Raw genomic sequence first — 22,707 nt, forward strand, 5'->3', positions numbered from 1 at the left:
AGAGCGGCCAATGCTTATGTTTTGCCAAATTAATTGGAGAAAGGCAATTAGAGACAATACCGTGTAACAAATGACATTAGTAAATTTTTAAACCATAAAGCATTTATGTTTAAAAATAAGAAATATTCCTTCCTGTAGGAATTCAAAAGAAGAAAATAAGGCCCAATATTTAGAAGCAGTCAAACTCCTAATACTAAATAAACGATCAAGTCTGGTGTTCAGTAAATTCATGTCTTAGCCATTTGTTTCATTCCTTTTTGTATCATCAGAGGAAATGGAAGGTACATAATAGAGATAAAAATTAACTTCAGGCAGAACGTGGTGGCTCACGCCTGCAATCCCAGCACTTTGGGAGGCAGAGGCAGGCGGATCACCTGAGGTCAGGAGTTTGAGACCAGCCTGGCTAACATGGTGAAACCCTGTCTCTACTAAAAATACAAAATTAGCTGGGCCTGGTGATGCATGCCTGTAATCCCAGCTACTCAGGAGGCTGAGGCAGAAGAATTGCTTGGACCTGAGGGGGAGGTTGTAGTGAGCCGAGATCATGCCACTGCACTCCAGCCTGGGCAACAGAGCGAGACTCCATCTCAAAACAAACAACAAAAAAATTAACCTCATATAATTTAAAATACTCAAGCTTTTAAACAATAGTTCTGAAAATGTATAGGTTTCTGTAATTATTTTTTTATTAAGCTTTTGAACTTAGCTTTGATAAACATATTACCCTGAAGCTAAAGTTTGATTTAGCTAGGAGAAATCTGTGTTCACCAGAAACACACACTTACAGAGAAATTGTAATAAGATATTCTGAATGTCCAAAAGAAACCCAGATGAGAGGTCGTGGTCTCTGACTTTGAGGATTTTTAATTCAATGATCTTTATTTTACTTACTGAAAGCTCTTTTTGTTTCTGGTGGTATTTCTTAGTTCTATTATAGCAATGTTTGTAGGATGAAGATAACCTGAACGCCTACCAGCAAGAAAATGGTTAAACAAACTATGGTATGTCCATACTATGGAATACTGTGCAGCTATTAAAAGCACAGAGTTAGGTTTAGAACTAGACTTGAAAAGAATGTTGATGACATATAATTAAATGAGAAAAATCTGAGAGAAAAAAATCAAATAAATGGCAACAAACTGGGTTTTTGGTCATCTTTATCCTACTCTAAATGACGAACCCCTAGAGGAACAGAGGCATGTTGTATTCATAGCATGTGGCATAGAGTAGTAATTCCAACATTTGTTGGATAAATTAACAATTTTTTATTTTAAGGAGAAGCATACTACACAAGATAAACTCTGGTCAATGTAGTCATATGTGGAATAGGGAGAAAAAGGCTGGAAAGTTGACATTTTCCAAGTTGTCCTTGCTGAGCATAATTTTTAGCGGAACTGTCAGAATAAGCCATGAAAACGAGGTTAACATCAATAACCCAGTCCTCTCGCTTACGGTGCCTGCTGATCTAGAAGTTCAGTGTTATGAATTATAAATAATTTTAAGAAACATACAAAAAGTGGTTTTTTTTTTTGACAGATGTCATTTATTATGTTTCATTCTGCTCTTTGCCTCTGTCTCTGATAAGGAAAAATGTTGCTTAGGCCAAGTAAATGCAAACAAGGTATTACAAAGATAAGTAATGAAGAAACTAGAAAAAGCACCAGTCTGATCAAGCTTCCCCTTCATAAATCATAGTGTTTCAATGCTGCTTTACCTACTGGTACCTAAGTTGTTGGTTTCTCAATCAAAAAATGATAAACAATCTCATTTTGCTATCGTATTTTTTGGTAATAATTTTCTTTGTAAATTTATTGTATCAAACTGTAAGTTCATCTTCAAAGCCAAAAAAGTAGTCCTGTATCCTTAATAACTTGATGCTTATCAGTTTTGCTATTTGAGACTTTATTCTTTATGAAGAATGATGTACTGATGCCTTTGAAAGAATTTTTAAAAAGATGCACATTACGTGATCTGAGTTCTTTAGTGAGAATGTAAAATCTATTATTAATAAATAAATAAATAAAAAGATCCACATTGAATCCATCAAGAATCCGTCGTTAACTAGCGTTCAAATCAGTACATACAGAATGTGTGTGCTGGGGAGGGGGGATTTTAACAAATCATGCTCGTTTGCTAGAAGAAGTCAAACATGTAATCACTTATAAAAGGATATAGGCCAATTAATTTAACTCTCTTGAGATCATAATAAATTAATTCACCTGACTACTCAAGGTGAGGGATGTAATATCCCAACCAAAATGGTAAACATGAGTCCCAGTCCAAAGGGCACATGTGGATAAACACATAGCCAGAAGAGAAATGCCCTACTCAGGCAGAACTGAATGTATTCAAGTCAATATGTGAACCAGAAGCAACACTAAGTAAGAAAGCTCATTAAAGCTAGAAAGTGATGTGCCTTCCCTTAGAAAAAGTGCAAGTATGTGCATTCAGCATGCTCCCTGCACCCTGAAACTTTGTATGGAGAAAAATTCCTCATCCCTTCAGTTCCTTTTTGACAGCTTAGTTCTTCAACATGAAACTAAAGCTTGTCTTGCCAACAACAGTCCTCTGTACAATCAACCATAAAAAACTGCTAAACGGTCCGTCTGGGCCACGTACCAGAGGCCTGAGCACACTGTGTAAGGAGGGTGTAACCCATGCAAACTTACATATTCTTCTTCAGTCTCCTCAACAAAGAAAGCTTCTCCGTTATCACCCAACTTCATGTGAAGATCCACTGCACTGCCGTTGATTTCTATATCAATCTATGGGAGAAACAAAGTATGACTTAATGTTCAAGGAGTCTTTCCTTCAAGTTAAACTAAACCAGAACTCTGAGTTCTCAAGTCAAACTTAGCATAGTTTTGAGGTTCCTAGAACTACAGCCTCTGAGAAACACTGCTACTTGCCCCTACCCAACCCCTAAGAAGCCAAATGGAGCTGGCAGAGGGAGAGATGGACAACCAGGAATTGAAAGAAAGTGTTTCACCATCTATTTTTACAACATATAAAAATTTTAAAATTATTTTTCAAATTTAAAATGGGGGAAATATTATTGTCAAACATTTGCACACTTTCCAAGTTATGGCACAGGCAGGCCTCACCTCACACGGTTCAGATACACACAAGTTTCAGGAACCTCAGTATGTGAGCTGTGAGCAACTGCATCAAGTACAACTTCACCGACAGCTCTTCTGCCCACAGATCACTACGTAAGTAACAGGTGACAATCAGTGCTGTGATTGGTCACTGATGATGGCGGTTCCATTTTCCCAAGAACCAGGTGAAACGATGGGATAAGTAATATCATGTCAAAAAAAAATTCAGGTAGACATATGCGTTGGGCCATTTTTGTGTTTGCTATAAAGAAATACACAAGGCTGGGCAATTTATAAAGAAAAGAGGTTTAACTGGCTCATGGTTCTGCAGGCTGTACAAGCACGGCGTTGGCATCTGCTTGGTTTCTGGGGAGGACTCAGGAAACCTTTACTCACGGTGAAAGGCGAAGTGGGGGCAGACACGTCACATAGTGAGAGCAGGTGCAAGAGACTGGGGGTGCCACACAAAGGTGCCACACACTTTTAAAACAATTGGATCTTGTCAACTCAGCAAAAACTCATTCATCCCCAAGTGGATGGTGCTAAGCCATCCATGAGGGATCTGCCCCCATGATCCAAACACCTCCCACCAGGCTCACCTCTAACACTGGAGTTCACATTTCAACATGAGACTTGGAGGGGACATCCAAACCTTATCAACATATTTTGTCAAAATGCTTGTTATAAAACTCCTATGTATGGGCCGGGTGCAGTGGCTCATGCTTGTAATCCCAGTACTTTGGGAGACCAAGGTGGGCAGGTCACCTGAGGTCAAGAGTTCGAGACCAACCTGACCAACATGGTGAAACCCCGCCTCTACCAAAAATACAAAATCGGCTGGGCATGGTGGCGCCCGCCTGTAATCCCAGCTACTCGGGAGGCTGAGGCAGGAGAATCGCTTGAACCCAGGAGGCGGAGGCTGCAGTGAGCCGAGATCACGCCATTGCACTCCAGCCTGGGCAACAAAAGCGAAACTCTCTCAAAAAGAAAAACAAACAAAACAAAACAAAAACAAACAAAAAAACCTCCTATGTATGAATAACATAACCACACTGAAGTGAGGAAGAATGGAACTAACCTTACCTTGGAAACAGTATTTTGACTTGTATTATAAGTCTAAAGACATATTTGATATGTTACTCCAAACAAACATTGTGCAGTAGTTAATACATTCACAGAGATTTGAGTTAGCAATTCTGAAACTATTTTGTGTTTCCTAGGATTGAGTAACTAAGCAGATATACTGACGATAATCAGAACCATGTTTCCTGTTGAAAGAGAAAAAAATTATAAATAAGGAGGGGGAAAGAAGCCTGCGATGGTGGATGGGAATTGGAGGAACCCGTGTGCCCTCATGATTTTCATATATAGATGCAGGGGTGTGTGTGTGTGTGTGTGTGTGTGTGTGTGTGTACACGTGCACACATCCACCCATTTCCTGGCTCTGCCAGCTTGGGCTGCCTAGAAGCAATGATACCTCAGGAGTTACGAGCACGCCTAATAAGCAGATCTTTGTTCGTAAATACTATTCTTCAATAAAAGGAACTGGCGTAAAATAATTAATGCCAGAGCTGAGGCAGGGAAAGTAGCTTCTTCTGGAACACCTTCTGGTACCAGGAAGGAAGGGTTCAAAAACTGATGGGAGCATTTCAAAGGAACTCAACTTGAAGGACATACACTAACAGTCAAACTGGGACAATCTGAGCAACTAATTTCATTTTTGGAGGCTATCCATTTAAACAGTGTAGCTGGGAAAATAGAAGAATGCTTCTTTAACATGCAAATTCAGACTCTAAACTATTCATACACTATCTCAGAAAAATTAACACTTCACAGCCCTTACTTTTAGAGATCAAGTATGACATTTCTCAATGTGACTACTTATCATCTTTGTGTGACTTTAAATGGAGTTTGGTCTTTCCAAAAATTAAACCTAACATCAAATTATGCTAATATTGGCAATACTTAAAAGAATATGCTGTGAACTCTTCAGGCAACAACAACACAAAGGTTTTAAAAATATTTTGAGAGAACACCAAGTTGGAACAAATTCTTCCCACCAACGTGATTATTTTAAAAAGGACACTAATTTGATGTATGAAATTCTAGTAAAACAGTTTTAAAAATAACCCCTCATTTCCATATAGTCTTACTTCTTACACTGTGGCTTAATTGTGCTGAACATAATATAGGACTAAGATGCTGAAATGAAACTGGTATCTCTGAGAAACAGTCGATGTACTAGACTTTTGAACTAGCTTACCACTCTTTGGGTAAGAATATCTCAAATGTCTTTTGGGAGTCTATTCATCCTGTTTCAAATCATATACAAGCTGAGTGTCTCAAATCCAAAAATCTGAAATCTAAAAATGCTCAAAAATCTGAAACTTCTTGAGCATTTACATGACACTCAAAGATAATGCTCACTGGAGCACTTCAGACGTCAGATTTTCAGATTTGGGATGCTCAACCAGTAAGTATAGTGTAAATATTCCAAAAAATGAAAAAAATGAAATCCAAAATGCTCTGGTCCCAAGCATTTCAGATAAGGGATACTCAACCTGTATTTCTGGTGTGGCTTTAGGGAGTAGAGGTGGGCTGTTGTCCAAGCCAATAAATATATCTCTTTCCCAGCTACAGAAACTGGTCCCAGAGATATGTCCGTTCCTTTGACAGGGAGACTAAATACTGATACTTCTGTAGGAAGCTCTCTCTCCACTGGGATTGATGAGTTAACAGATTGTGAGCCTGGAGGTATTGGTGGCCATTTTACATTAGAGAGAAAACAGAAGTGGAAGCAGAGAGCAGAGGTGGGGAAAGAAAAAGGGAATTCTGACAGCAAGCTTTTTTGCCTAAGCTAGTAGAGGGTAAATTTCTGTTATCAGCAATGAAAATAGTTTTAATACACTGGGTTATTTAACTTTGATAAATAATCTGACCAGGCGTGGTGGCTCACACCTGTAATCCCAGCACTTTGGGAGGCCAAGGCGGGTGGATTACCTGAGATCAGGTAATCCTAGCCAACATGGAGAAACCCCATCTCTACTAAAAACACAAAAAGCAGCCAGGCGTGGTAGCACGCGCCTATAATCCCAGCTACTCGGGAGGCTGAGGCAGGAGAAACGCTTGAATCAGGGAGGCGGAAGTTGCAGTGAGCAGAGATCGCCCCACTGCACTCCAGCTTGGGCGACAAAGCGAGACTCCATCTCAAAAAAAAAAAAAAAACAACAAAAAAAAAAAACAGAAAAAAGAAAAAAAAACTTTTATAAATAATCAAGTAATCAGCTTTTTCTGATATCAATAAATTTTAAAATATCAAGTACACATTTACCTTCTAAAAGTAAACTCCTAAGTTACTAAATTTACTGGGAGTACTGCTGTTCTACCAAACAATTACGTATCAATGGCAGTGGGAAAATTATTATACTACATCTCTCTAAACAGTGGTTTTAAGGTGGTCATGATTTCAAATTCACTTCATAGGTACACCCGTATTTGAAAATTTGGGGTCTTACTTTCACATCAATGGCCAGCTTTCCCTAACCCAAACTGACTTAAAATAAGACAAATAGTTAATGCAAATTGCCAGTGTATCTCAAAGTAGGCATGATTTCAGTTTTACTCTCACAGTTTTTCAGTTTTCTCACAGGAAAGCTGTTTTGGTAAATCAAATGGCCAAATTTCCTCCCAAACATATTCTTTGGGTTTCTGAGATACTAAGGGAGTAGGAGGAAAAAAATTCTCTTTTCCTGTGTCTCATGAGTACATTCCTATTAAAAATGCAACGTTTTGACAAGATAGTAACACAACGATTGTGTAGCTTTTGCACAGGAATTGTATTATTTCCTAAATTAGAGGCACACAGCAAGCAGGAAAAGGTGTTTTATCTACTTGGTCACCATTTACAGATGCATACATGCTTATAAATACATCTGCCTTCAGGTTCCATTTTGAAAGGCCAGACACTGATCCAATGTGATAAAAAACAATCTCAGCAAAAAAAAAAAATAATGATGATGATACCTTATCAGCAGTTTTACAATAGATCCATACACAACTAATGGGAAATTTCAGTTTGTTGCCAATTCCCCCAGAACAGGTCCAGTCTGAAAGTACTATTGGTGTTACCACAAAGAAAGAAAAAATTTCAGAGAACCTAAACTATGGCTAAATAACACTGTTTTGCAATGGAAAGTTTCTAAGTCCCTAAGTAAACTGCAACTGCTTTTGCTTTCTAAAGGGTGACTCTGAACAGAGGCCAGACCACACAAGCCCTGCTACCCTGAAATGTGGTTCTCCAGTGGAAACTGATTTTGTAATACCTAGAAATGAGATGTTTTTCCTGGAGGAAAAAAAGAAAAAGAATATCTAGTTTTGTGAAATCCATTTTCTTTCACTCTCAAAATAACATTTAAGTTTAATTAAATAGAGGGAAATTTCTATTTAAAGCTCAGCTATATAAAATAGCAAAAAGCTGAAAATAAATGTTTTCGACTTACACCAGTGGTCCTCTACCACATACTTTTAGGTCTGTGCCAGAAAATGGTGAGGCTCTTTTGTTGTGCTTTAAAATGTTGACAAAGCCTTTCTATGTTATTTAAGTAGATACTGCGAGGCAAGAATAGAAAGAGAAATCTGTGTACCTGCCAAGTGTTATTACTAGCTCTGTTTTCTAATTTGATTGACATCAGATATACTAGCAAAACTTCCAGCTGCTCCATAACCTGAAGAGGATAAGAAAAACCTACACAAATATCTTCTTCCTGAATGAATCTTCCCTAAAACAAACAAAAGTCAACCAGCCTATGGTCTGTTGGTTAGCATTTCAGTCAAATATGGGGACAAGTCCTGGTATCAACAACAGAATTTAGATTACAAAAGTTTTTACAGCTTTGTCAAAACAAACAAAATGTGGCATTAATTAATTTCCTTTAAAAAAAAAAATATGGCCAGGTGCGGTGGCTCTACACCTGTAATCCCAGAACTTTGGGAGGCCGAGGCCGAAGCCGGTGGATCACTTGAGGTCAGGAGTTCGAGACCAGCCTAGCCAACAAGGTGAAACCCCGTCTCTACTAAAAATACAAAAAATTAGGGGGGCATGGTTGCACGTGCCTGTAATCCCAGGCACTTGGGAGGCTGAGGCAGGAGAATCGCTTGAACCTGGGAGGCGGAGGTTGCAGTGAGCCAAGATCACACCGCTGTACTCCAGCCTGGACAGCAAAGCGAGACTCCGACTCAAAAATGTGTGTGTGTGTGTGTGTGTGTGTGTGTGTGTGTGTGTGTGTGTTCTTGATTATACCCACCTATTCCATTTACAATTAGTATGAAGGTATTAGCCTAAGTATTTAAAAATACTATATAAGGTAAAGGAAATTTTTCTTTTTCTAAATATGTCTAAGTTCCCCCATCTAGTTTCTGTTTTGCTTTTCTGAGTTGCAACATGTAAGATTATTATAATAATTTTCAGTTTCCCTTTCCCTTGAAGAGACTTCTGCAGTCGAGCTTTGTGGTTTTCAAAGTAACTTCAAAAGCAATACATAAAGGTTGACTTCTCGTAACATTGTCTCAACATCATTCAGGTTAAAAAAAAAAAAAGGCCTAGAAAACTCACAATAGCGATTTATTCATAGAGGATGACTTTTCTACTCCTTGAGGACACTCACTCACTTTCTCTTTGAATCTCAGGATGACTTTTCCTCTCCTTGAGGACACTCACCACTTTCTCTTTGGATCTCAGGACTCCCAGCTTTCCAAACCGAACGTGAAAAGGTGAACACTGATAGCTGCCATCCTGCTGCTGTACCACGATGACATCAATGCACCCAGAGAGGGTGGCCTGGTTAATGCCCTTGTAGAGTTCCTTCACAGTGACAATCACCTGCCCAGCCAGCTGTCCCACATAATTCATGGTTTGAGACTACAAGAAACAAAAATTAGATGAGATGTTAACACTAAATTTGTGATCTATTGACAAAGAAATAACAGTCGTAACAAAAATGACACTACTCACTTGTATGCCAGATTTCATATCATTAGCCTTATTAATTTTCAACCTAACAGTCTCATGCTACCATTGTTTCTACGCATTTCCACACACGGACCTCCCGAGACTATTCTCCTTTGTATCTGAGAGGCTGCTCCAGCCAGGGCCTGAGGCATTCCCTTTCCTTTCTCAGCAACCTGGATAGTACTGACTGCCATTAGGGACTTTTTCCCCAAAGTTCAGGATCAGCACAGAATCACCAAAGAACCCTGACCTCCTGCCCAAGACCCTTTGGAACCTGCGGCTACTGCATCCACTTTGGCCATAGCAGCCAAACAGAAAAAACAAACATCATCCCCGGGAGAAACCAGAGATTCATCTTCCAACAGAACCAATGTAATAAATTAGTGAGAGCTACATTTTGTAAGGAACTATTATTACCAGAATAGTATGGTTCGGACACATGCTAGATTAAATAAACTCTGGCAAGTCTGCCTGAGCCTAGCCCATTTATAACATTACTTCTACGGAAAAATCCCTTCAATGACTCAATATAACTAACTGGAACATGCAATCAAGTTCTACAAAGTTCAAAGCACAGAAAAGGGTTTTACTCTTGTTCCTCAACCTCAATTCACTATTCAAATCACAATCAAAAGGTCTGCAAGGAGTTCTCCAGAAAGGCTCAAAGGAGAGGAAGTACAGCTAAAGCCAGGGGTGGCTTTATTGCCTTGGCCCCATCCCCAACTTTTCCACTAATAAAAACCAAATCCCCCCCTTCAGTCCTAATGTCAGATTTTACTTCCAGCTACTGAATACACCCCCACATTTTATTCATTAGATGCTGACACCCCTAATATTATGCCAAAGCACAATTCAGTGAAAGCCATTCTGGGGACTGGAATGACAGAGAGTAACCAAGAGCCCCTCCAATGCTCCAGCTAATTCAGAGGCCAACTTTCACCCAACCACAGGACTGACTGACTGCTCTCCAGGCTGTCTGCCATAAGCAGCTCGTGGTTTCTCTACACCCAGCTTGGAGGCTGCCTTGAGCTTAAAGGTCCATGCTCTGAAAAGTTTCAGAGATCATGTTCTGTGTTGCCAAGTGAGTCCAAAACTGAACTGGGAGAAAGAATGCTGTCTTCTTGGGAAAACTCAGGGGCCTCCAGGATATCTGCCTGCACAGAAATTCACTCTGCTCTTCACAGATGAGTGGCCACGGCAGAGCCCTGATTCTAAATTGTTTCCTGTTCCTACACGCGGATGAATGTGTAATCAAGGCCCATCAGTTCTACACCATGAAGCATCGCCATGATAATTTTACCCTGGAAGAAATTTTTAAAATATTTTAAAACTAATGTTACCAAGGCCCTTAAATGCACCCATAGAAAAGCTGGAAAACGCTTGTGCTGCAAAACTTACTCCTAAATAACAAAATAAGATGACATCCTTTATGTGATATCAAACAATTATAATCTGGTGATGGTTTTGGAATAATTGATTTGACCTCAATAGCTAAACCAAATTAAGCATGTATCAAGTGCTCAATAATCATTTATTGAATGAATGAACAAATGAACTAGTAATAAATGAGACTAAAAAAATAAGAAACATAAAAAAAAAGTGTGGGGAGGAAATAGTGTTTCATCAAAATATTCATATAACATCCCATTATGTTTTTAATAATTAAATTCCTATTTTGAGGTCACTGTAGATTCACATGTGGTTCTAAAAAATAACACAGCTAGATCTCATGCATCCTTTTCATATTCTGTAGGTAATGCATATTCACAACATGCTTTTTACCTACATGGCACACACATGAATTAAACAGCATCCAAGCAGTCAATCTTGGTATTACTGCTTGAATGGTGGTGGCAATGTTAAAATGAATTTTATTACAAGAAAAAAAAAACATGTTAGACCTTTTCTTAAAATAAACAAAAAAATGCTAACTTTTAAGCATTGACATTCAGCCACAAACAAGTCTTATAAACATAAATGTGTAACAAGCTTCCATCAACTACAGCATAAAATTCATAATTAAGTGTAACCGTACCTATTCAAGATTATTTTAACTACCATGGTTAAGGGATGTGCTGTTATATGGGAAAACCTAATGTGTAAATGCCAGTTGCTAAATGTAGAAAAATACAGGTTGTCAAATAACTGGTTTTCTCTTGACAGATAATGAAACAATGACATTTATATTGTGAAGGCTGGTAAAACAAAAGTAAAGGGAGGCCTGTAGCTTAACATGCTACACCCTGGGTATGATGAGCAGCTGTCTGCTAGAAGGGTCACCCCAACAGAGCTGGGGAAAGAGGCTTCCTCACCGTTAGTTACGTCTGGAGGAAATGCAGTTGTTCGTCATAGGCATGAGGGATATGTTAAACAGCCTGCTCTTGAAGCAGAATCTAGTGCCATATACCTTATTCCTACATGCTAGCCCAGCATAGCTACACAATAAGAACCAAGTCAGACCTGTCCTGGTCAACACCTGGGAAAGCCACACTCTGAACCAGCAGCAGAAAAGATACACAATGATGTAACCCAAATGTTTAAAAAATATAGCAAAATAACACACTATAAACTATTCCTCCTATTTTATCATGAATGATGAGGGAAAATGTGGGAGGACAAAATAAATAATGGAGAGTGACAGAGACCAAAGGAGAGCCATGCAGAAAGAAACAAACAAGAAGTCACAGAGAAAAAAGAGCAAAAGCAAAGACAGAATATTTAACCAGAAAGGCAGGCTCATTTGGAGATGCCCACACAAAAAGCAAAATGTGGAAATGAAAAATGGTCACAGAGCAGCATCCCTATCTTGAGGCTTACGGGCATAAATAAAAATATTAAAGTGCACTTGCTGATTCTTGGAACAAGAAGAATACATCCAGCCCATTCTTTTAACAAATACCAAAAATGCTTCTAACACATCTCTGAAATACTCTAACAATAATCACACTGGAAACAACTCTTTTTTTGAAAGCTCGTAACATCCCAAATTCTTAAACTTATACATTATTATCTCAGAACTACTTTAGAGGTGGTATTATTTCTATTTTTAAAGACAATTAAGGCTGGGTGTAGTGGCTCACGCCTGTAATCCCAGCACTCTGAGAGGCTGAGGCAAGCAGATCACTTGAAGTCAGGAGTTCAAGACCAGCCTGGCCAACACGGTGAAGGCCCGTCTTTACTAAAAATACAAAAAATTAGCCGGGCGTGATGGCGTGCGCCTGTAGTCCCAGCTACTTGGGAGGCTGAGGCAGGAGAATCACTTGAACCTGGGAAGCGGAGGGTGCAGTGAGCCGAGATCACACCACTGCACTCAAGCCTGGGTGACAGAGCAAGACTCCGTCTCAAAAAAAAAAAAAAAAAAAAAAAGAAATGAGGGTTAGAAAAGTTAAGTAATATCTATGACCTCCCTCTGTCCCCCACCACCACCAAATTCATATATTGAAGCCCTGACGCCCAATGTGATGGTATTTGGAGACAGGGCCTTTGGGAAGTAATTAGGTTTAGATGAGGTCACATGGGTGGAGCCTCCATGTGATGGATTAGTGTCCTTCTAAGAGGAGAAAGAGACCCAGACCACGCTCTCTTTCCTTTCCTCGTGAGAATACAGCAAGAAGTCTGCAAACCAGGAAGAGAGCCCAATCGGCTGGCACTTTGATCTGTGAGAATGGTAAGAAATAAATGTCTGTTGTTTAAGCCAAATACCATCTATGGTATTCTGCTGCAGTACCCCAAGCTGACTAAGACAAGTCTCTTCTTAAACATCGCATGCTATGCTGCATTTCAGTTTTGGGATCGTTACAGTTGACAGAGACTCACTACTTTACCAAGAAGTCCATAAAAATGTCAGAGAACTATTATGTCCACTAGAAATCACACTGAATATTACCACGCTCTTCCAAATGAAACCACAACACACCAAAGAATTTATCAGAGTCTCTTCTATTCTAGGCTAAGCATTCTTGTTCCTTAAAATATGTGAACTGATTGGGTCTACTCTGACTCTTATGACAATTATTTATGTCCATCTTTAAAAACGATATTTAAAGACAGCTAGACACAATGGCTCAGATGTGGCCTGACTGCTACACAGTGTATGTAATATACAGTGTGCTGTTTAGGCCTAGGTACCTTCCCATGGGCTAGATTAAGTATTGGGAGCTCCGAAGGAAAAGAAGTACTTATTGATTACTCAAATAAAAAAGTGAAGAAAAAAAAAAGCAGTAGAAAATAAGCAACTACAATACTTATTAGAGACCAAATGGCCCTTCGCATATAAAATTCAATACGCCAAATTAGTCCTTCATGCATAAAATTTGACAGTGCCCACTATCATATTTTTCTTATCAAATATTTTAAGGTATAAAAGGACACACACTGGAATGAATGGTAGCTTTCAAGATTTCGTTATTCACCAAAAGTTTGAAGATCAGCTTAGCATCTTTTGCTGAGCATCAAAGAAACTAAAATGAATAATCACTATATGGAGTATGGATTTATAAATAAAATGGGCCAGGCGCGGTGGCTCACGCCTGTAATCCCAGCACTTTGGGAGGCCGAGGCAGGTAGATCACTTGAGGTCAGGAGTTCAAGACCAGCCTGGCCAATATGGTGAAACCCCATCTCTACTAAAAATACAAAAAAATTGGCCTGTATCGTGACACATGCCTGTAGCCCCAGCTACTCGGGAGGCTGAGGCAGGAGAATCGCTTGAACCCGGGAGGCAGAGGTTGCAGTGAGCTGAGATCGTGCCACTGCACTCCAGCCTGGGTGACAGAGTGAGACTCCCAATCTCAAAAAAAAAAAAAAAAAAGCATCAGTAAATAGGTTCAAATACCAATCCCCCTCCTACAAAAACTGCTTAAAATTATTTCAATTATTTGATGTGTTCAATCAAAAATAACTTTTGTTAAGGAAAAGAGTAATCAGAGATAAAAGGTAGTTTAAAAACAATAAAAAAAATTCATAAATTATCAGCACAAAATGGACACATTCTATTTACTTTTATTTTCATTTTGAGACAGGGTTTCACTGTGTTGCCCAGGCTGGACTGCAATGGTGCGATCTCTGCTCACTGTAACCTCAGCCTCCTGGGCTCAAGCGATGCTCCCACCTTGGCCTCCGGAGAAGCTGGGACTACAGGAATGTGCTACCATGCCCAGCTAATTCTTGTATTTTTTTGTAGAGACGGGGTTTTGCCATGTTGCCCAGGTTGGTCTTGAACTCCTGGGCTCAAGCAATCCACCTGCCTTGGCTTCCCGAAATGTTGAGATTACAAGTGTGAGCCACCACGACTGGCCTCAAAATGGATACATTCTAAACCACTATTTTAAGTGTTTCAAAATCTGTTTCTTAAGTTTATCTCCAAATATCTAATCGGTACTAGTATTGTTAGTACTACTACCAACGAACACACAACTAAACTTGTTACACGTCTCTCATGTGTCAAGTGCTATGTTAACCTGTATGTTATCTCATGTAGTCTTCACAGATACCCATGGATTTGGTATTCCCATTTATATGTGGAAACTCGGGTTCAGAAATATCCAAGGTCAGCACACTATTAAGTGGCAGAGTTAATATTCAAACTCAAGTATGAGCCTAGAACCTAAGCCCTTAATTGCATCTCTAAGTAACAGAAATGCTCTAAGTAAACATGATAAAAGCCTTCATGAAGCCTCCAGATTTCTTACTGCAAGTGGGCTGCTTTCAGCAATCTGAGTATCATTTTTACTTAATGCGACTTGACTACTTAAAGATGAAATGATTACAGGGAATCCAAAGAAGCCATACTTACCCTCCAAGTCTCCTCACACCACTACTATTAACCCTCCCGCTGGACCATGGTCCAGTGTTACAAAGCAGACTCCTGGGAGCGCCACATGTCATGAGGCTTACGGACAGAGGTTAAAACAGCTTTTACCAAAGAACATGCCATTGCAGCTAACTTTCTGCTCATGGACATGAGGAGTATGCTAGGAGGGAAGAGAGACACCAGATGCTTCAGGAAATAGACAACAGGACACTGTTACCTAGGATGTAGGTAAACATTCCAGCTTGCCCCTGTGCTCCTGGACCAAACTCCTTCAGGACACCCATGATTACGGTTTGCATTTGATTAGCATGTAATATTTTTCAAGAACTTCCTCAAACATACCTCATTTGATTTTCAAAAAGAGAATGTGGGTTATGCTAGCAGGCATTATTAATTTCATTTTAAATTTGAGATTGAGATAAGAGGTGTCTACTATTCACTAGAACCCAGTTCTACCTATACTCAGGGTCCCAACTTTCTCCACTACCTCTGACCCATGGCTTAAATCATTGGGTCTCAAGGTCATGTGGTGTCCCTGAGGGCAAAAAAAATCTGAGGGCTGAACTCAGGTTATACTAAATCCCTATGGTTTTCTCAAAGAATCCCAGAGTAACCTAGAGGTGGCCAATATGAATCTGGGGGGGATTCTGGATGGTAAAAACTTCCCCCCAAAAGTAAGTGATGAAACGCAAAGGTACCCACGCAGCAGCTGCCGCAAGCTTCTCCCCGGTCAGGGAGGGCAGGGGGTGACAGTCCCCCAGGGGCTTGCCCACATCGTGTAGGTGCTTAACTGAGTCAACATTTTACAAAACATTTACAGTGTGCCCACCAGATGCTAAGGGATTACAAAGAACGAAAGGAGGTTACAACTTAGCTAGACAGAAGAAAGGAAGAGTATACAACACAGCGCAGTCTAGGGTAAGTTGAAAGCAGGGCCACAGACTCCCGACGCCAAGCCCTGACGGGGAATCCAGCCTTTCCGAGGGAAGCTGTTCTCAGACATTTAAATTCAAGCAAATGCCTTACTTTGTACTTCCTGGTTATTTCTTTTCCCCGTCATAGTAGAATGCCAATTTGTTTCTTTAGTTTTGTATTATTTTATATTAGCTATCTTTAAATTCTCACTTTATAAAACAAGAAATAGAAAATAGCAGCCGCACAAGAACAACCTGGCCTACCCCCCAGGAGCACAAAACAGATGGTTCATTAAAGCCCATGCGGTCTTCCTGAAGCTAAGATGGCCCATGAGAAGTGCTGACAGCTGAGCCTCTAACACTCACCGCTCCTAGACCTTCAGTGGAGAAAGAGCCCCAAATGTCTCCTCAAGAACACAGCGGGTCTCCTGCTGCCCCAGCAGTGTAGGGCGACTGGTCAAAGTGTTCTCCTTCATTTCTAGGACGATTTAGTCCCTGTACAGACTCTGTAAACGAAAACCCAGTGCCTCCCAGCAAACTTCCTGAATACACCGAGTATCCAGACAGCTTTTTCATCACAATGAAAAAGGAAATCTGGAAGAAGCCTTACCCGGGAAAGGCCTCTCGATGTAATCCTCCTACAGGTTTAACTCAGAAACAATCACAAAAAAAGATGCCCATTATACTGGCCTGTTTCTGGTACAGTTCAGTTTTCACACAGTCAAAATTAAGCACCTATTTCATGCCAGTCACTACAGTAAGTCCTTATGAAGATAAACAAAATTCTGCCCTCATCCTCTCTCAGAGGACCTTGGTTCTTGAAAGAGATATAACAAATACTGTCTTATATAATCCCTTATGATAATGCTATTTGGGAGACTGTTAGGAAGACTAGAGAACAAAAAGAGAAAAAATCTACTTGGGAGAGTTAGGTAAGGCTTCAAGCAGCAGAAAATATTTGTTCTAGAAGTGCAAGTATGTGTAAAGGGCTGAACAGATTAAGGAAGGAAGGTTCCCAGTGGGCAGTCCCAGGCAGAGAGAACAGCTTATGGGAAAGTGTGCTAAGTTTGAGGGACAAGAGTGAGATGCCACAAGGCCTTTGACCCTGTGCAAGTTTATCATGTGGGCAATGGGTGCAATCAGTGCTTCTTCTGTTCAGGGAAGCGACAGGATTAGGTCACAGGGGGAGGATGAACTAGAGAAGAGGTAGCTAAAGGCAGAGAGACTACTCCAGAAGTCACCACAACAAATTCAGGCAAGAGACTGCACAGCTCTATGGTAGAAGAGACACACACAGGGAGCTGAGAATCAGTTAGTCTTGATGACTGTTGCATGAACCAACTTAGAGATATGGAAATAAAAAGAGTAGACCTGGTGGGGAACTTCCTATCAAGGTTGAACTTAAAGAACACTACTTACTACCACACTGCTTCAAAAGTTTGTGTACATGAAAATCATTCTGGGTGGTTTTAAAAAATGCAAATTTCTGACTGTTTTAAAGCTTAAGAACTAATTATGAAGATGAGCCAGGTTAGGGAAGCATAGTTCCATGTAAAAGTAAGAGCTCTTGCTACTTTGTGCTACTTCCAAAATCAGTTCAACAGAAAACTGACTACACAAAGGCTCTGAGCCTTGGGAATTGTCCTGTCCTTTGTCTTTTACAGAGAAAAAGTACAGGGGAGTTTTTGAATCGTTCTGAGCTGGTGTTGGGCCTCAGAGGACTCCCTCCTGAGAGAATGAGATTTAGCCAGGATGAGGTGTGCTTTGGAGGATCTGAGGTTCTAGTCAATTCCCCGTAGATCACAAACTCTGTCTTTCTAAATCAGAGCAACCCCATCACCTCCACTGTTTGAAGTCGCAGTCAGGGAGGTTTTTATATCTAACTTCTTTTTCCCCACTAAATGAGGAAAACTGGCAAGGAGCACACTCTAGGTCAGTATTTCTCAAAGAGTGGTCCTTGGACTGCCTGCAATAGAAGCAAGTTTTGGTGCTTAAGAATGTAGGTTCATTCATGAAAAATACGGGAAAGGGGGATAAAAACAAATACACGCTCATGAACCCCAACCCAGACCTACTACATAAAAAGCTGGAAATGAGGTCTTAAAAATCTGTTACCCACGATTCTGACAGACACCCAAGTTTGGGAACTAACTCTAGGCTCTGTTGCAAGAACTTTCTCCTCTTAAGCCTGATTAAGTTTGTTATGAAGACTAAGTTGTTATGGGCTCAAGTTCACATCCTGTCGTATAAAGATGTCAAGGTCTGATAAGTGTGGATCAGAAGTGGAAGCAATAGATAGTAATAGAATTTTAGACATTTTAATGACAGCTGACCTGACTGTTTTATGATACTTAAATTCTAGAACTGGCAGTGCTTCTGTGAAAAAACTCAGAAATTCTGGCCTGGGAAGACTGCTTGCCTAAGGACCCCTTCCACAATTACAACCAAATATTACTCAATATCAACCTTTGGGATACGTAAGAAGAGGGGATTTTCTGATTCAATATTTCTGTTTGGGAATTTAAACAGACACATAATGCAATGGCTAGATCTGAAGGTAAAAACAGGGCTCCCTGGATTTCAATGATTTCAGTGCTCAGAGAGGCACCGAAACACAAGGGTGGGCCCCCAGTAGCCATGTCTATAATACGGGACCCAGGTCTTGGTATCTGCTGGCTGACAGGGGTGGGAAACATCTGGCCCAAACAGATATTCATGAAACGTATATGGAGAGCCAAGGCCACCCAAGACTGGGAGGGCTGGGCTACCTGAGATGGGATGCAGAAGGCCCACCAGCTTGGAACACTGACACCCCAGGTGGCCCTGGCTCTTGCCCTCTTGGCATCTCTCTGAACGATGAGCCAGTCATAAGTTTCTTTGCGTGGTTGTTCAGAGTCCATTTCCAATGTTGCCAACAGAGGACTTAAATCAGACAGGCTAGATCCTGACTGGATAAAGCCACCTGGAGCCCTAAAACACCCTCCTGCAAATATCAGCCTGGCAAAACTAGCAAGAACATGCTTCAAACATAACCCAGATAACACTTTATGCTACTTAACAACTTAATCTGTTGAGAAAAAAATTTTTAATTTTTTAAAAATGAGAAAATATGAAGCTGGCCTTAAGCTTAGTTCTCAGGGCTGATAAGTTTTAAATTAGGATTTTTGGATCTGTCACCATGTTATTTCCTTTGAGGGAATCTGAAAGCTCAGACTTCTGCTCACTGAGTTCACTTCACTATGATGATTTCAACACACTCACTTTCTATAAACAGATGAACTGCTTTGTTGGACTGAGTAGGGCTCAGAAAAGGGAAGACGCTTTCCCAGTATAGCAATGCACCCTCTCTCCGAGTGGCGGCCCAGACCTTTACTCAACGACAGTGTCTACTTCAGCTTTTCAGCAGGTATAACTTAAGGAAGGACCATAAACATCACCTATTTCATCTTCAAAAATTACCAGCCCCCATCTTCTACCCACCCCAGTCATCAGCCCAATAATTTTCTGGACAATTCTTCAAAAGCCAATACCAGTTTTCATCTTAATCTGGTATTTCGTAAGAGGAGCAAGGATGTTTCAGGTTCCCTGGGTAAGGAGGAAGTGGGATCAAAAAGGAACGTACATCCACAACAGATTGTGAATCCCCAGAGCACAAAGGCAAAGATCAAAAAGATGATAGGGGAGGATGTGTGGGCTCAGCGGCTGAGAAGAAAGCAGAGGTCACAAGATGGGATCTGTTGCTGTGAGTGCCCAAGGCCCCCTGCCCTCTCCCTACCACAGCACCCACCACGCGGCATGAACATTTAGGCTACCTTCAAACTCTTGAGTTCCGGTAAGGAAGAGAAAAGTCCCGCAAGCTTCACTGCTTCCTGAAAGCTTGGCACAGTGCCTAGCAATAGTAGGTTCTTAATAAGTGGTTTTGGATCAATGAATGGACCAATGAATAAATGAATGAATGAATGCAAGACCTAGTGAACAGAATCAGCAAGGAGAGGGAGAAATATACACAGTGTTGCGTTTTATCTCACTGACTTAGAGTAAAATTCAAGAGGTAAGTGAAGATACATATAACCATGCACTGGAAAAAAAAAAAAAAAACAGGCTGGGTGCGGTGGCTCACGACTGTAATCCCAGCACTTTGGGAGGCCGAGGCGGGGGGTGGATCACCTGAGGTCAGGGGTTTGAGACCAGCCTGGCCAACATGGTGAAACTCTCTACTAAAAACACAAAAATTAGCCAGGCATGGTGGTGGGCACCTGTAATCCCAGCTACTCAGGAGGCCGAGACACGAGAATCGCTTGAACCCAGGAGGTGGAGGTTGCAGTGAGCCAAGATCGCGCCACTGCATTACAGCCTGGGCGACAGAGTGAAACTCCATATCAAAAACAAAACAAAACAAAAAAACAAAAACAAAGAAAAGAAATCCATGGTGGAAGTTAACCCAAAGTCCCAAAAGCAATGCCCATGTGTTCAGACCAATACTTTCCTCCAGAAGCTGCTGAAGACCTCACAGAGAAAAACTTGCATAAATCTAGTCTATGTCAGTGACAAAAATGACACCGCCTCAGGATGGGTAAATCTAAAAATATCCCCGTGAGAACAAATGACAGCCAAGTAGATCATTCTGGAGAATACTGAGCAGCGCAGCAGCAACTCGCGGCAGAGACTGCTGGTCATCAGAGGAAGTCAGTGTGAAGTCAGCCGAGGCAGGGGCAAGGGTGCCGTAACTGCATTATTACAGAAAACAAAGTGAAACACAACCACAAAGTTATCCATCTTCTACTAGTCAGCTGACTTTTACGAAAATGCCCAATATAATTATGCTACAGAGCACAGCCTTTAAGGAAAATGGCTGGAAACAATAGTTTAATTTTCCTGTGCTCAATAATGTACCAGAACATTAATTTTCTTCAGAAATAGAACCTGGTACAGAGCAAGAAAAACTAGTGTTCAATTTTATCGTTAAATTTCAAAATAACATGTGTGGCTTAAGGAGATCCTAAAACGGTAAGCAGCACCCTCAAAAGGGGGCCCCAACTCCCTTCCTCAGCCCCGACAACATTCACATGGCCAAACTTGTTTCAAACTATCATAGCTCTGTAAAACTAAATGGTTCCTGTTCCCACATTTCTCTTTAATGCTTCTCCCTTCATTTCCCAAAATGAAAATAAAACCTTGTCATGAAACTTTCTGATAATTTAATTCTTGTCTGTTCCCATCAAGGCTAAAATATGCCCAGTTTTGACCTCTGTACATGAGGTGACAGATGCTGTTACAGGGAACATTTAACCTGACTGGCAAATAGAGAGAAATGCAATAAGTAAAATCATTAAGAACTGTAATCAGTTCAACATTCTGTTTATAATTAATAATGAAAGATATTAAACTATTACTTAAGTTAACCTTTGTGTAATGGTTATACCTATCAGCACAGAAAAAATTCCAGCTAAATGTTCATGCCAATTTAGCTATGAAGTTTTAAGATTACAAATAGCTGTACCTTGAACTATTCAAAATAGATTTTTCTTAAAACAAAAAAAAAAGCATACACTTTACAGGCAGGAAAATTAACCCTTTTGTAGTGTACAGTTGTTAGCTGTGACCACACATTGCTGTAGCCACCACTATAATCAAGATACAGATCAATCAGACTGCTCTCCAAAATGCCCAAACCCATCTGGAGTCAATCCCTCTTCCCCACCCATGCCAATCACTGATCTGCTTTCTGTCCCTAGTCTTGCCATCTCTGGAATATCATATAAATAGAACCATACAGTATGTACCTTTGGATTCTGGCTTCTTTAGCTTAGCACAGTCCACGTGACATTAATCAATACTGCTGCATGTATCAGTAGTCTGTTCCCTGTTAAGTAGTACCCCACTGCATGGATGTATCAAATGTTTATCCATTCACTAGCTAGAAGATATCTGGGTTGTTTCCAGGTTTCGGCAATTACAAATAAAACTACAGGTTGAGTATCCCCCTTATCCAAAATGCTCAGGACCAGAAATGTTTTGAATTTTGGATATTTTCAGATTTTGGAATATTTGCATATACATAATGACCCAAGTCCAAACATAAAATTCATTTATGTTTCATATACACCTTAAACACATAGGCTGAAGGTAATTATAGAAAATATTTTCAATTAATTTTGCACACGAAACAAAGCTTTAACTGCATCTTGGCTGGGACCTATCACCAGGGCAAGTGTGGAATTTTCCACTTGTGGCATCAGAGAGTTTTGGATTTTAGAGCATTTTGGATTTCAGATTTTTGGATTAGGGATGCTCATTCTGTACTATAAACATTTGTGTACAGGCATTTGTGTGAACATAATTTCATTTTATTTGGATATTTTAAAACGGGATTGCTAAGATATCTTTTTACAAAGTTGATTTTACTGGTATTGTTTAGTTGTTGTTGTTGTTTTGTTTTGTTTTTTTGAGATGCAGTCTTGCTCTGTGGCCCAGGCTGGAGTGCAGTGGTGCAATCTGCCTCCCAGGTTCACACCATTCTCCTTCCTCAGCCTCCTCAGTAGCTGGGATTACGGGCGCCTGCCACCACGCCCAGCTAATTTTTTTGTATTTTTTAGTAGAGATGGGGTTTCACCGTGTTAGCCAGGATGGTCTCGATCTCCTGACCTCGCGATCCGCCCGCCTCAGACTCCCAAAGTGCTGGGATTAACAGGCGTGAGCCACCGCGCCTGGGCTTCTACTGGTATTGTTTTTAAGGAATCTTCAGTGTCCTTGGGGGAGCCTGTTATTAGAGAAATCCTTCCTTTGTAAAATAACGTAACTGTTTTTTAAGTTTGGATTTTCACATGTGGGATTTGCTTAAAATGTAAATTCACCTCTATACTGGTGAAAATTCAA

The 22,707-nt window shown here is 40.4% G+C and overlaps 1 protein-coding gene and 1 long non-coding RNA gene across 9 annotated transcripts in view, besides 4 other annotated features; one reads left to right on the forward strand and one right to left on the reverse strand.

The window, feature by feature from the left end:
• The window catches only part of LPIN2 (lipin 2), a 96,151-nt gene that overhangs the window by 34,841 nt on the left and 38,603 nt on the right, over positions 1-22,707 (reverse strand). For 7 of the 8 annotated variants that reach the window (XR_935074.3, XM_047437958.1, NM_014646.2 and 4 more), the window contains 2 exons: positions 8,815-9,015; positions 2,670-2,765 (listed from right to left, as the gene is read on the reverse strand). Coding sequence is in view for 7 of the 8 variants with exons in the window: in XM_047437958.1 (XP_047293914.1) it covers positions 2,670-2,765; positions 8,815-9,015 (297 nt within the window). In the remaining variant the exon portion in view is untranslated. Of the gene's footprint in view, positions 1-2,669; positions 2,766-8,814; positions 9,016-16,441; positions 20,390-22,707 lie in introns of those variants that run through there. The other variant, XM_047437959.1, reaches the window with a different exon arrangement.
• Positions 5,205-5,264: an enhancer, noted in NCBI's record as "active region_13029". NCBI's record gives its function as "activates an Ori minimal core promoter by ATAC-STARR-seq in GM12878 lymphoblastoid cells {active_cell/tissue: GM12878}" and the evidence as "EXISTENCE:reporter gene assay evidence [ECO:0000049][PMID:35858748]".
• Positions 6,140-6,299: an enhancer, noted in NCBI's record as "active region_13030". NCBI's record gives its function as "activates an Ori minimal core promoter by ATAC-STARR-seq in GM12878 lymphoblastoid cells {active_cell/tissue: GM12878}" and the evidence as "EXISTENCE:reporter gene assay evidence [ECO:0000049][PMID:35858748]".
• Positions 8,484-8,583: an enhancer, noted in NCBI's record as "active region_13031". NCBI's record gives its function as "activates an Ori minimal core promoter by ATAC-STARR-seq in GM12878 lymphoblastoid cells {active_cell/tissue: GM12878}" and the evidence as "EXISTENCE:reporter gene assay evidence [ECO:0000049][PMID:35858748]".
• LPIN2-AS2 (LPIN2 antisense RNA 2) lies at positions 15,166-18,275 on the forward strand. The gene is made up of 3 exons (XR_001753322.2): positions 15,166-15,208; positions 15,738-15,835; positions 18,194-18,275. It is a non-coding gene; the product is annotated as an LPIN2 antisense RNA 2 (long non-coding RNA).
• Positions 20,768-20,917: an enhancer, noted in NCBI's record as "active region_13032". NCBI's record gives its function as "activates an Ori minimal core promoter by ATAC-STARR-seq in GM12878 lymphoblastoid cells {active_cell/tissue: GM12878}" and the evidence as "EXISTENCE:reporter gene assay evidence [ECO:0000049][PMID:35858748]".

The sequence above is a fragment of the Homo sapiens genome, chromosome 18 (assembly GCF_000001405.40).
Source record: "Homo sapiens chromosome 18, GRCh38.p14 Primary Assembly".
NCBI lineage: Eukaryota > Metazoa > Chordata > Mammalia > Primates > Hominidae > Homo > Homo sapiens.